The 15926-nt window shown below is 36.7% G+C and overlaps 1 protein-coding gene across 1 annotated transcript in view; it reads right to left on the bottom strand.

Annotated features, from left to right (window-relative positions):
* Window positions 1-596, bottom strand: part of GLRA2 (glycine receptor alpha 2) — a 283034-nt gene extending 282438 nt beyond the window's left edge. Inside the window, exon 1 of the mRNA XM_047441999.1 lies at window positions 97-596. The gene's annotated coding sequence lies outside the window, so the exon portion shown is untranslated. The remainder of the gene's footprint in view (window positions 1-96) is intronic.

Here is a 15926-nt window from a genome sequence, read left to right as displayed (position 1 = left end):
CAAACTCAAATGTCTATGTGAGTCATGGGATCTCTTTTTGCTAGGATCCCAGAGGTCCACAGTGGGAGAGTGGTTCCCTGGAGTTCCTTCACTTACCTCTTCCTTAGGATCAGGAGCCAGTCCTGGCACTTGGCAGCTCTGTGCAAGCTTCCCAGCTTCCTCCCTCTTCAATTTTGGTGTCTGCATCTCCTCTCTATCAACTTTCAGTATTTTCTCTCAAAAGATCTGTTTGAAGTGTGATGGTTTACTCGATATTTTGGTGTCAGGTTCACGAGTACACCAAATGTCCTGCTCAGGGTCAGGTTCCAGCTCACGCAGAGGTCTGAAGGGAGTGGGTGAATGAGCAGATAGCTGAAAGAACGCTCAGCGGGTGGGGTGGCGGGGTAGGCAGGTGAAATGTAGTTTTATTCAGTAGCTCTCTCATCAGCAGCTCACTCACCGTCCACCTCGTCTCAGCTGCTTGAGCCGGTGGCTTCCACACACAGCTGCATGGCTGGCTCTTCCTTCAGGGTCAGCAGCTTAACTCTTTCTCTCTCTAGGCACGAGTGAGCTGAGCTGTGTCCTGGCTCCCCTTGTCCATCTGCAAAGACGGACAATTCTGGCTCGCTTGCTCTCTCTCTCTCTCTCTCTCTCTCTTTCTCTCTGGGTGCAAGCATGCCTGTAAAGTGTTAGCGGGGCAATTATATCTTTTATAGACAATAGTGGCGTAGGTCCAAGGGATGGCCTTTCCATGTTATGGCTACATGGCTGTGATAACAAGTGGAGTTATATGACTGCACTACAAACTCGCTGAGTCATGCAGAATATAAACATCCTACCTCGACCTATCCTTGACCAAAGCACAGCCATGTTCCTTATATTTGGTTTCCCTCGGTAAGCGAGGCATTTCCCAGCTGCGTCTCATGGGCCACCTTATTTCATTTTCCCCACCTGAAGGCTTCTTACAACAGATTGCTAGGCTCTACCCCTAGAAATTTTGATTTGGAGAGTCTGGAGTAAGGCCTGAGAATATGCATTTTTAAGGAGTTTCCAGGTGATGCTGCTATTGGTGGTTGAGCACCACATGTTGATAACCACTGGTGTAGCCTAACCCTCAAGGTTCCTCCACCTGTGGAGGTCAGCCCAGCAGCACTGCTATGCAAAGTTATTGGGGGAAGGACTTATATAGTGGAAACAAACTGGGAAGCACCTCCTCTTTGCTGAGCAATCTAGAATCTTCCCATGAGCTTCGGCTCTGGGCCTTTTTAATGACGTTAAACAAATATTTAGTAAGAAATTTATGTTCATATTTATATTTCTGAAATGCTTTGCACACAATAGATGGGGGATATACAATAAAGGCTCATTATGTGAAAACACGGATGGAATGAATTTAATATTCTTGCAGTTCTTGCATGTTCATTGCATAGAGAAATTTCCTAATAAAAGTTTGTTGGTCTTGTTGTTGTTCCTATTGGTAACGACGCCATAACATCCTTCTCAATGTGATGCTAAACATACAGAAGATAAGGAAATGTTTAGAGAAATGAATAATAAGTTTTGCAAAGATAAAAGTCTAGAAAGCTAGTCTAGGCTGCAGATATTTCCCATAATCTGGCAGGTAGGTGAGGAGATAGATAGATAGAGATTGATAGATAGATGAGATACAGATAGATGAGAGAGAGAGAGAGAGAGAGAGACAGACAGACAGACAGAGACAGAGATACCCACACACCTCATGGATTCTGTGGCAGACAGACCTCTAAGATTGCCCCTAGGATCTCCACCCCTGGTATTCATGCCCATGTATAACCTACTCATTTTGAGTGTCCTGGCTCACTACAGTGATTTGTTTTAAAAAATTGAATACAGCAAAAGTGATGGATATTACTTCCTTGATTAGGTTATGAAACATTGTATCTTCCTTTCATTTTATTTGTACTCTCTCTCTCTTTTGTCTTTTCATGTGCTCAATCTGACAAAGTCAGCTTTGATGGAGAGGCCACATGGCAATGACCTCAGAACAGCCTCTGACCAAAAGCCCGTGAAGAACTGAGCCATCAGCTCAACATGGGCCCAACAACCTGATGAGTGAGCTAGGAAGCAAATCCTTCTAAGTTAAGCCTTGAAATCACACTGGCTTTGTTAGACACCTGGAGACAGTGGGCCTAGTTAACCCAAATGTGCATTCCTGATCCACAGAAACTGTGAGATAATAAATGTGTTTTAAGGTGCTAAATTTGGGGGTTATTTGTTTTGCAGTAATAGATAATGACACAGATTATTTTCTTAAAATGCCAAATAATTAATGTATTCTGCAAAGCATCAAAGAAGTAGTGTGTGTGGATGTGCATGTGTGTGTGTGTGTGTGTGTGTGTATGTGTGTGTGTGTGAGAGAGAGAGAGATCAGGCAGGGTTCCAAAAAGATTTCTGATCTCATTTCCCATTGCACAAGACTTGTTGCTAATCTGATCCCCTAAAAAATTAAACACCAAAAGTTCCAGAATTAATTAGGGTCATCACTATTATCATTATTATTCAAGCTTTCCAGACCTAATTGTGCCATCCCACTCACCTTACTCACAACTATTGACAGAACTGTAATATTTGTAATAATGGTTGGTCTTAGCCTTTCTGACTCACATGTTAACTCTACTCAGATCTTCTTGCAGACTTAAGTGAGACTGAAAGAGAAGGTAGCTGTGCTCTGGCCATGACTAGAGTTTAAAGTACCACAACTATACATAAACATCTCTACACATCAAGAATCACAGACAACATTCCATCCATCACTTATCCATCCAATTTTCAACAAATGTTTACTGAATACCTACATTGAGCAATGCACCATGCTAGGAAGAATAATTGAAAGATGGCCATGATCATAATGTGTTCATATTCCCTTTTAAATTTACAGTAACCATGACACCTCCCTTACCTCTACAGTGTTTTCTTTTTAGCAGTGTCTATATAGCAAGTATTTTGAGCACATTGCCATTTGTGAAATGCTGTCAGTGAAAAATCTAATTCTTAAGAACGGACAAGAAGTCTGCCATTGGCAGGTACTTCAACTAGGCTTTTCAAAGTTGAAACACCAACAACGGGCCTTTTGCTATTGCTGGCATGACATTTGACTTGATATTTGAAACTCTTGTCTGGCCATTTCCCAAGGGGCCACAGTGAAGGCTCAAGGGGCTTCGCTGTAAAGATGAACCACAGCAAGGCAGATACCAGTGTGCGTCTGACATGGATTCAGCTCTCCTTGCACAGTCAGCCTGTAGCACAACCACAGCTCATAAAATCCCATGTCCCTCAGGATTCCCAGAGATCATAAGAAGTAAACAAAAGACAGAATAAGCTCATGAGGCACATTGCTTTTAACTAAAAAGCAATATACAAGTATCAAAATAAGTCCAGAAAAGGCCATTTGGCAATCCATATGAGAAGATTTAATTTGTATTTTGCATATCTTTTGATCTAGCAAATCTACTCATAGGAATTTATCCTAAGTTGTGTAGGGGAGTGGGAAGATCATAGGGCTTTGAAAATCTATGGCTACGGGGGCGTTTGCTAAAATGATGTTTATGAGGAAAGAAATTAGAAACCACCTAAATATGCACCAAGAGAGGACTGGATAAATTAACTGTTATATAATCATACAATGGAATATAATTTAGCCATTAAAATAACATTGTGGAAGAATAAGAACTAGGGAAATATTAATGTTCAGTATATATTATTAAGTGAAACGGCAGGTTAAGAAACATGTACAATATTTTTATGTTTTTGTTAAAAAATGCATGTGCATACTATATATATGTACATGTATATATATATAGAGAGAGAGAGAGAGGTGGGAATGTTAATAGTGGTTTTATCTCAATATTGAGTTTTTGGATAATTTAAATATTATTTTTATTTAACTATATGGTTTATATTTTCATAATGAGCATACAGTTTTGAGATTAGGGATAATTTCAATTTTATTACTTTTATTTTGCTATTGTCTGTATTTTCTATAATGAATACACATTGTTTAGAAAAACATTAAATTATTATTTATAAAGGGATCGATTAACTGAAAATGTACATTAAAGAAATTCTTAAACTAAATCTTGAGGTTTTAAGTACATGAAAAGGGAATAAACGTAACTGAGCATCTTCAATTCTGCCTTCTGCCCAGCAACTTAGCTATCACTCAAAGGAAATAAAAAGTTAGAGTTTAAAACATCACTGTCACATAACCACCCTAAATCTTGTTATCTTCTGGAATTGAGACTTTTTTTGCCAATGAATGAACCAAAAGGAACTTTTCTTTGTGCTGGAGGAGGAGGAAATGATCTTTTTAGGAGGAAGGAGAGAAAGCACACCCTCATATAAGGATAACCAGATACCAGCTGGAGAAGGCACATATGTGTGGCCGCTACTTACAGAGGTTCTCAAGGCAGTTCAAATGTGAACACATTTTCTGTTCAGGGACAGTGTAAGTTTTCCATTTTTAAAATTAGTCTCAATAGGCAACTTCAAGGAAACCAAAGTGGTAGAAGATATAAGTATTATAGGTATAAAAATAGTCTTTTTCTAAAATTAAGCAGAACTTGATATTTTAGAAGGCAATTAATTTTTATTTTAAATCAAAACAGTGCTTCATGTTTAAGTAATGTTTGCCTCTAAATTTTTCTATTTCTTTTATCTAAATAAAAAAGAGAAGCTCTCAACTAGAGTTTGAGGCATACATAAAATAGCAAAATAGACCAAAAACATATAATTTAACGAATACTGTGACTCAATTACGTTACTTCTTTCTAGGAGACACAAAACACATTCTGAGGAAATATACATTCACTACACGTGCACGGGAATCATTCATTTACTCATTTAACATGAATTATCACCCACAAAATGTTAAGTACCTAGAATAAGGAGATAAAGATCAATCCTGTCCTACAGACCCACTGTAAAAAGAATAGGTGGGGCAGTTGAGACAGAAAATATGTTAAAGTCTTCTTTGTGGGGCAGATAAACAAATTATATTTTCAACACAATGTATTAAGTGCTTTAATAGATTAATGCACAGTGTGATTTCTGTTGGCACCAGAGGACGGACATTCGAAAAATACTCGACAGGAAAAGACATTAGGGAGGCTTCCAAGAGGAGGAAAGACTTTTGCTGAATCTTGAAGGGATGGAGAATTAAGCCCGTAGATGAGTGAGGAATACATGTGGGGCACAGAGATGTGTCACTGATGAAATGTAGGCTGGATACATCTAAAACAAAGGAATCCTTAGGGCAACACAATGATATCTGCTAATGTCTGTTATTTCATTAAAATAGAATTTGATTATACATTGACATTTAGCAAGCTCATAGGTTTAAGAACTTGTGAGATTGCTCAACTATGGTATATTAGGTTATTGTTAAAAATTATTCACTCACCCCTCTTTCACTTTGTGGGTGGAACATGCTTGCTCATCCCTTGATTCTGGGTTTGTCCACTTGCTTGCATTAGACAGTGGAATGTCAGGAGATACAAGGCATGAAAAGCACTCGAGAGACAGGGCTTTCTCACTTACACCTCTGCAAACCTATGGAAAGAACTCGTTCTGACTAGCTCACTGCTCTTGGGAGGAAAATGAGAGAAACAAAGAGCAGAGCCTCCCCACCCAAGTCCTCCTATATAGCCATCCCTTAGCTGATATTCAGACTTGTGACCCTATTGTTGTATGCCTCTGAGATTCTGTGGCTGTTATGCAGCAGTATCGTGGTCATAGTTACTGATACACCAATCAAAAATATTTCCTGATACAGTGTATACGATTCCAAACTTAACTAACATTTCTTAAATGAGTAGCTCATCACAATTTTGTATTGCGTTACTGTGTGATGCATGAGTTTTGATTGGAGAGATGTGATATGGAGTTTGCTTGAAATGAACATGCCCAGACACCCAAAAGAAATTGATGAGGTTCCTGGACTTCCAGTGGTATAAAAGTGAGAAGAGAAGATAAAAAAAAATGCAGAGTGGTACTGAAGCCAATACTCACCTTCTTCACATTTTTTTTGGTAGGGCATATCTGGCACTCAACTAAATGTTTAATTTGGGGGAAAGCAGGATTTATTCCAGATCTTTTTAAACTTTAATCCTGCTCCTCCACATAGACTATATTCATGGGTTCAAATAATCAATATTGTAAAGTTACCATTTTTCTCCTAATTGGTCTATAGATTTGATGCAATCTCAATCGTAATGGAAATGCACAAACTGCTACTAAAGTTTATATGGAAATTCAAAGGCCAGGAAAAGCCATGGAAATCTTGAAGAAGCAAAGAGCTAGAGGACATTGTCAGATATCAAGACTTATTATAAAGTTAAAGCAATGAAGTTTATGTGGTATTGGTGCAAGAATAGACAAATAGATCAATGGAAGAAAATAGAGTCTAGAAACAGACCACTCATATACTGTCACATGATTTCTGATAAAATTGATTATGCAGTGGCATGGGAGACAAGGTGATCTTTTCAAGAAATGGTCTTGGATTATTTAAATATCCAACTGATAAAACAGTGAATCTTGACTGCTACCCCCACACCAACCACAAAAATCAATTTCAGATAGATAGTAGATATAAATGTAAAGTAGAGAAAAGAAGAAAACATAGGATACAGTTTTTATGACTTTTGAGAAAGCAAAACATTCTTAAACAGGACCATAAAGAAAATAAATGACAATTAGATGATAAAATTTTAATCCTCCCATTCTGAAGTGATGCTACCAGTCCCATTTCAGTGGGGGAAGGGGACATTTGAGATGGACCAAAAGATGTTATTTCATTTACTGAACAAACACTAAATTTTTTTCTTTCTACCTTAAGACTCATTTTATAAGGCCATCAATCTATGATAGAAAAGATCAAAGCTTCCCTTACTAGTGATATAAATAGTGACTATAGAATGAATGAGTTTCTTTTCTAATATAGATTTATAATTAATATTAGGGAGCAATTTTAAAAAGGTCATTTTTTCAAATAAATTTCTCCAATAGAGGCATCACAGAGCAAAGAGGTAATACCTTCTTACTTCCCACTCCATGCCCCTTGCAGTATTTCATTAAAGACCTTTGCAAATAGCAAGTATCACAACAGCACATTATGATATTCCACAGATTATTAATTATGTGACTGACTGATGGCACTAAATTTCATGTTAGGAGCCTTGTTAAATGGAGATCACTTTGGAATAGAAATAAAACATCTCGCATTATGATCTGAATCAAGAGGAAAGATTAATTCTATATAAGCAATTCTCAATAGCATCCATCACATGAAATGAGGTAAGCATATTCAGTTCTAGGCATTTCAAGAGTTGAGAAGTTCTGTGGAAAGAAGATCTCAAAATATTAACTCCCAAAGAAGCATGGAAATGAGCCAAGCAAAGGGCAGCCCGAGCAGTAGCCCTGTGTTCTCTTTTTGCTCTGTGATGTTCACCAATACACAGGTGTCAGACGTCACCTGAAGTGACCTGGAGACCACCAGAAAAGGTTACTCCTGAGAAAATGAAACTGTGATCTATTTTTTTTTTCTCTGCAGATGTGTGTCAGGATGAATTTGTGCCCCAAAGGGAGAAATCAGAGCATCAGCACAGAAGTCATTTCCTAGAGAGACGTCAGCTTACCCCACAGAGAACCCTTCCTCCCTAACAGGCACAGTTGCTGACATCACACATCCTACCTTGCTGATTCCAAAAGGGCCTGGCAGAATCAGAAAGTTCAGGTTGCAAAAGACACCCCCCTCCCCCGCGTCCCCCACCCCCAACACACAAGAGAAGTGTTCTATAGCCTACCGCATGGAAGTATTCAGACTTGACAGTATTGAGCTACATTATTAAAAACTACCTACAAGGACTGCTCTTTTGTCTCTTGGGAAAGGAAGGAGGCATAATGCCTGAAGGAAGAAAAAACAATGTATATTATCAATACTAAAAAAAAATTGTCAAAAGGCCATTTTCCCAATATAATTTGCCCGCCCCACCAAATTTAGCTGCTATAGTGACAGATGTCATAAAATGACAGCTTCCATGTTGTCCATCTGACTTTCTCAGATCTTGGATTAAGTTAACCCCTTCTGGGTTTCTTTATATGCAAAATTAACATGTAAAGTATTTGGTTTTTGCCTGATTCAAAGGCTCTAGAACATTTAAAACTTGGCTGATTACTTTCTGTTCTGGAAGCTCAGTGTATTATGCAGTAGCATGCTAATACCCAATTGTACCTAACCTTGGTTAAGGACTAATTGATTGACTTTAGAATGACTTCAACTTTTAGTTTAAAAGTGCACAAATACAAAATATTTGTGGCCATTACTGAGAGAGTTTTGATGGATTTATTTTTGTAGAGCAGAGCCAAAAAATTTTTATTGAAAAATGAACCACTTATTAATCTAAAAATGATTTTTTCCTTTAATAAAAGAAAAATCAGCCATTCATAGGAGATTCATGCATAACTGACTATGTGTTAAATACTCTAAACAGGCTTATAATAATATATTTAGAGATTTTAGCACAATTAGAAACACATGATACCTCCCTTTTCCTTTAAGCATCTCCCATAACTCAAGTCCCAAATGAACTCACAGAAAGAGAGGAAGACAATTTGTCAGTTCTGCAATATTTGGTAATAAAGATACCTTTGGGAAACAAAGACTGTGAAGCTAACACATCAATATGTATCTTTGGAAGACAACTCTGCAATGGATTTAGCAAAACACATTAAGATTCTGGCATTGCCAGTTATAAGCAGACGTGAGTGGAAAGTGGCTTTTTTGTTTTGTCTGATCAGTGTACCTTGTAGTGGTCATCAGGCTTCCAATCTCTCCTTCCTGTTACTGTCTCCCTCTGTGCTTTTCTTGATTAAATGAAGTTGGCTACAGTCTGATGGGCTGTGTAGATTAATTCAAGATATGTGTGGAATCCACCTGGCAAACCTGATAAAAGCAGCTTCCAAGAGTGGAAATGGAACAAAGGCATGAATAATAACATGGGGGATTTGCAAAGGACAAAAATATGGGCTGCCATTTGATAGTGACAGTAATTACTTAAGTAAATGTCAAAACACTTGAAAGAAACAAGAGAAAGACAAGTCATGAATATTTAAAGCTGAAACATGCCATTCTATTGATGTGCCATTTGGAAAGAGATCTTTCCCATGTTCGCTCAGTTAGTATGTTTTGAAAGTGGTGTACAGCCTATCTGTCTTTACACTAGGCAAACTGAATTATAATTAATATAAAATCCACAGGCATTTTCATCCAATCCCTTAGTGCCTCGTTTCTCAAAGTACTATCTGTGACTAGCAGATTCTCAGACCCAAATGACCTGTCCATTGTTGAAAGTGGGGTGTTGAAGTCCCCTATCATTATTTTATTGCAGTATCACTCCCTTTAGGTCTGATAATATTTGATTTATATATCTGGGTCCCCCAGTGTTGGATGCATATATATAAAATATATATATATATTTACAACTATTATATCCTCTCTTTAAATTGATCCTTTTATCATTATATAATCACCTTCTTTATATCTTTTTACATTTTTTGACTTAAAGTCTATTTTATCTGATATACAGATGGCTACTCCTGTTCATTTTTGGTTTCTATTTTCATAGAATATCTTTTTCCTTTCCTTCATTTTCAGTTTATATTTGTTTTTAAGAGTTAGGCCGACCTCTTGTAGGCAGCATATAGTTGGGTCTTGTGTTTTAATTTATTCAGTCACTCTATGTCTTTTGGATTGGAGAATTTAACTTGTTTACATTCAAGATTATTACTGATAGGCAGCAACTTACTCTTTCCATTTTGTTTATTGTTTTCTGGTTGTTTTATAGACCCTTTGTTTCTTTGTTTCTCTCTTGTTTATCTCTGGGTTTGGGGGTTTTCCGTGGTGCTGAGCTTTGTTTTCTTTTTCTTTCTCATTTGTGCATCTGCTGTAATTTCTTTCTTTGTGGCTGCTATGGAGCTAACATAACTACACATTATCATCATAGCTATAATAGGCCATTCTAAGCTGATAGCGACTTAACTTTGGTCACATAAAAATTATCTTAACTTTTCCCTCTCCCTCACAATTTATATTTTTGTTGCCTTAATTTACTTCTTCATCTATTGTGTGTTTCTTATATATTAATTATAGCTGTTGTTGTTCTGACCATTTGGACTTCAAACCTTCGTAATAGAGGATTGAGAGATTTACATAGCACTAGCACATCACTGGAGTATTCTGAGTTTGATTTATGAATTTACCTCTACTGGTCAGTTTTATGCTTTCATCTGTTTTCATTTTATTTCCAGGTGTAGCACCCCCATAAGAATTTCCTGTAAGGCTGGTTTAGTGGTGATAAATAAAATCAGAGATGAAGAAGAAGACATTGCAACTAATACCACAGAAATACAAAGGATCACTAGAGATTTTGTGTGAACATCAGTATGCCAACAAATTTGATAATATACAAGAAATGGATTAATTCCTGGACACATGCAATCTGCTAAGATTAAATTATAAAGAAATAGAAAATCTGAATACAGCAAGTGAGAAAATTGAATCAGTAACAAAAAAAAGTATCTCATTAAAGGAAAGCCCAGGACCTGATGGGTTCATTGCTGAATTCTACCAAACATTAAAAGAAGTAACACCAATTTTCCTCAAACTATTCTAGAAAATTGAAGAGAAGGGAATACTTCCAAATTCATTTTATAAAGCCAGAATTACCCTGATTCCAAAACCAGACAAGGACAAAACAACAACAAACTACAAGCCAATATTTTTGGTGAATATAGATGCAAAAATTCTCAACAAAATGCTAGCAAACTGAATACAACAACATATTAAACAGATCACTGTGTTCAAGTGAGATTTATTCTAGGGATGAAAGTATAGTTTAATATACATGAATCAATAAATGTGAGATACCACATTAACAGAAAGAAAGACAAGAACTATATGATCATTTCAATAGATGCAGAAAAAAGCATTTGAGAAAATTCAACATCACTTCATGATTAAAAACTCTCAACAAATTAAGTATGGAAGGTATGAACCTCAGAATGATAAAGGCCACATGTTACAAACACACAGCTAACATCATACTGAATGGGGAAATACTGAAAGCTTTTTCTCTAAGATCAATAACTAGACAAGGATGCCCACTGTCACCACTTCCATTCAACGAAGCACTGGAAGTTCTAGAAGCAGTTAGGCAAGAGAAAGAAATACATGACATCCAAATTGTAAAGAAGTCAAATTGTTCATTTGCAAGTGACATAATCTTATATATAGAAAACCCTAAAGATTCCACCAAAATCTGCTAGAACTATTAAACAAATTTAGCAAAGTCGCAAGATGCAAAAGGAACATACAAAATCAGTAGTGTTTTCATATGTTAATAGTGAACTATCTGAAAAAGAAATCAAGAAAATAATTCCTTTCATAGGAGCTACAAAAAAGATACTGAGGGATAAACTTAATCAAGGAGGTGAAAGACCTCTGCACTGAAACTATAAAACTTTGATAAAAGAAATTGCAAGGGACACAAATAAATGAAAAGATATCTGGTGCTCATGGATTGGAATAACTACTATTTTTAAAATGTCCTGTTATCCAGAGTAATCTACACATCTAATGAAATCCCTGTCAAAATACCAATGACATTCTTCATAGAAATAAAAAAATTCTAAAATTCATATGTAACCACAAGGGACCTCAAATAGCCAAAGCAATCCTGAGCAAAAAGAACAAAGCTGGAGGCATCACACTACCTGACTTCAAAATATACTACAAAGCTATAGTAACCAAAACATCATGGTACTGGCATAAAAACAGACACATAGACTAATGGAAAAGAAAAGACAACCCAGAAATAAATTTACACACCTACAGAGAACTGATTTTTGGCCAAGGTGCCAAGAACACATGCTAGAGAAGACAGTCTCTTCAATAAATGGTACTGGGAAAATTGGATATTCACATGCAGAAGAAAAACCTATATCCCTACCCCTCACCATACACAAAATCTGACTTAAAATAGATTAAAGACTTAAATGGAAAACCCCAAACTATGAAACTGCTAGGAGAAAACAGGGAAAATGCATTGTGATACTGGGCTAGGGAAAGATTTTTGAAATTAGACCTCAAAAGCACAGGCAACAAAAGCAAAAATAGACAATTGGGATTACCTTAAACTAAAAAGCAACTACTTATCAAAGGAAAACATTAACGAAGAGAAGAGACAATGAGTGAAATGAGAGAAAATATTTGCAAACTACATATTTGACAAGGGTTAATATGCAAAATACATAAGGAACTTAAACAACTCAAGAGCAAAACAACAACAAGAAGTAACCTGATCTTTTTAAATGGGCAAAAGGCCTTAATAGACGTTTCTTTAAAACAGACCATACAAATATCCAACAGGTGGGATATGAAAAAATGTTCAACATCACTAATTATCAGGGAAATGCAAATCAAAACCGCAATGAGTTACCACTTCACTTCAGTTAGAGTGCTTATTATCAAAAAGACACAAAGAAAAGAAGTGTTGGCAAAAACATAGAGAAAGGGGAATCTGCACACTTTTGGTAGGAGTGTAGACTAGCATAGCCATTACGGGAAACAGTATGGAGTTTCCTCAAAAAATCAAAAATAGAACTGCCATATCCAGCAATCCCACTACTGGGTACATATCCAAAGGAAATGAAATCAATATGTCAGAGAGATATCTGCATTCCTATGTTTATTGCAGCACTACTCACAACAGCCAAGATATGGAATCAATCTAAGTGTCCAACAACAGACAACTGGATAAAGAAAATGTGGTCTGTATACAAAATGGAACACTATTCAGCCACAGGAATAAAATCCTATCATTTGCGACAACATAAATGAACCTGGAGGCCAGGCACAGAAAGACAAATATTGCATGATCTCAGTCATGTGGAATTGTTTTAAGTTGATATTATAGAAGCAGAGAGTAGAATAGTGGTTACTAGAGATTGGGGAGGGAAGGGAGGATGGGAAGATGGGGAGAAGCTGGTCAATCAGTACAAAGTTACAATTAGATAGGAGGAATAAATTCTGGTGTTCTGTTGCACAGTAGGGTGACTATGGTTAGTTGTAAAATATTGTATATTACAAAATAGCTAGAAGAGAGTAATTTGAATGTTCTCAACACAAACTCATGAGATAAATTATAAATGCATAAGGTGATGGATTCACAAAATACCTTGATTAGATCATTATACAGTATAGATATGCATCAAAACATCATATTGTACCCCATAAATACATACAATGATAGTTGTCAATTTAAAAAACAATAAATTTTTAAAAATAGAATCTCAGACCCAAACCCCAATGTACTGAATCAGAACCTGCATTTTAACAAGATCCCCAGGTGGTCTGTGTGTGTTAAATTTTGAGACACCCTGTATCAGAACATTTTTAAACAATGTTTTCAGTGATGGGATGTTCCAATATTCTGCACTTAGAATACTTTACTGGATAGTAAAAGGGCTGCTCTTGCCTCAGATAATACAACTATTAATGATTTTCTAACCTACCTGGTCTGTTCATGAATCAGTATGTGGGACCCTGAACCATCCAGTCGTGGTAACTTATAAGAAAGCTCCTGGAGAATATATAATCCCATAGAGGTTCACAGATTAGGTTTCAAGAAGAAAAGACTGTAAATTATTAGTTCATTAGGCATAAAATTCCTGCTACAAAGAATAGCCCCCAATCCCTTTATTTCCTTAAAACATTTGTGTAGTACTTTCTTTTGTGTGTGTATAGTATTTTCTCGAAGAAATTTAGACCCCAGGTACTGGTGGGGAAGGTTATCAAAATATCTGTGACCTCAAACAGGAGGCTGAATCAAATCAGTACCAAGAAAAGTGCAATGTGGTTAGAATTGTTGACTATTAGAGCTGGCAATCACTTTAGAAATAAACTAGCACACCACCACCCTATTTTTACCATGCATAAAATAAAACCCTACATGGTGAAATGACATTCTCAAGGCTTCACAAATAATTGATGATGGAGCTAGAATTACAGGCCCAGTCTTATGAATCAAATCAGTGTTATTTCTCTGCTCAACATGCATGTACGTGATATGTGTGGTGATTGAGTCATGCAAATGCAAAAAGCCTTTAGATTTTCCTGTCTCCAATGGCATCACCCAGTGCATTCAATAATGTCTTTACCTGCTCATTTGAAAACAGTTATTTTTAAATGAATTTCAAAAGCAGTGTCCAAAAATAAAAAGTGGGTGTAGCCCTTAAAAAATAGGACTGTTTCCAAAAGAGCCAGGTGCCTGTTTGAGTGGTTAATGCATAATCTTAAGCATCTGATTGAAGTTAGCATTTATAATAATTATGTGTACCAATGCAAGCTTTTTTGGAAGAAAAGAAGAGGTGGTTTGAGTAAATTACTTTCTCAACTTAAGACTTGGAAAGTCACTATGAGGCCTGTTATTTTTTTGCCTGCCAAATGGAAAAGAGAATGTAAGGAAGTTAGAAGGGCAAGCAAGTCCTCTCCCTTGAGCATACACAAGAGTGTATATACTGAATACTCAGCTGGCAGAGTGAGATGAGAAAGCCAACGTGCTGCTCCAGAAACTCAGAGGAAAGACTAACTGTAAGAAAAGGCTCATAGTGAATTGCTTTATTCAACTTCAGATGACAAACGAGTTGAATTAAGCAAGATTATAGTTAAGTTTAGTGTTAAATTTGGTACTGCTTTCCCCTAATCACCAATGAGTATTTCTTTTCTTTTCTTTCTTTCTTTGAGACAGAGTCTCACTCTGTTGCCCAGGCTGGAATGCAGTGGCATGATCTCGGCTCACTACAACCTCTGCCTCCCAGGTTCAAGCGATTCTCGTGTCTCAGCTCCCTGAGTAGCTGGGATTACAAGCGCATGCCACCACACCTAGCTAATTTTTTATTCTTAGTAGAGACAAGGTTTTGCTATGTTGGGTGGTATCAAACTCCTGACTTCAGGTGATCCACCAGCCTCAGCCTCCCAAAGTGCTGAAATTATAGGTGTGAGCCACCGTGCCTGGCCACCAATGAGTATTTCATTAGTGTGTTTTATCCCCTTAAAATATTTTATGTTTTAAATGAACACATTAAATAAGTTATGTGCTAATCTATTATGTCAGTTGTCCTCAATAAGAGTAAGTCCTAACTATGTCAACGAGGAACTGTTTTTATGCACCTAGTGGTACTTACCTAAAATATGCAAAGGAATAATTAACCCTTATATTAGATGTCTATTTTTTGTAATAATATATTAGAAGGAAACTCTATTTACTTCAGTTTGGATTGAGAGACTGAAGAACAAAACAATCCTTGGCAAAATTTCCCACATTCCAGACTTAGGAACTAGGCTACTTTTGCAGGACTTAAAAAGGAGGAATCTGAAATTCTCAGTGAGTTTTATTCTCTGAGATCTTGACCATCAGATATTGGTGTTACACTTCTGATTTGGTCTTCACAAGTTAATTTATCATTCCTGGAAATGTAATATGTAACCCAGTCAGTTTTAATCAGGTGTGTACGTCGGAATCAACTATGGAGTGATTTGGTTTGGTTGTTCTGCATAGGGAGCCAGACATCTATTTTTCTTTTGAGAAAATACCAGACTAGCTCTGAAATGAACTTCAGTAGAGAACCATCACCTTAATCCAATGGAACGAAACTCTAATTGCAGTTTTTCTGGGAATATATGAAAGAGGATGTCTTCATAGCATTTCTCAAATTATACAGTGTCATCTATTACCTTTATCAAACGGACAAGAGGTTGTGGTGGATGGTTAAATAATGGCCTGCAATGAATCACATCTTGCAGAAGTCTTGCCCTATGTAATACTCTTCCATATAGACTCTGGATTTGCCCA

The sequence above is a fragment of the Homo sapiens genome, chromosome X (genome assembly GCF_000001405.40).
Source record: "Homo sapiens chromosome X, GRCh38.p14 Primary Assembly".
In the NCBI taxonomy this organism is placed as follows: Eukaryota; Metazoa; Chordata; class Mammalia; order Primates; family Hominidae; genus Homo; species Homo sapiens.
Note: the sequence above shows the minus strand (reverse complement) of the source record. Positions and strands in the feature narration are given on the sequence as shown.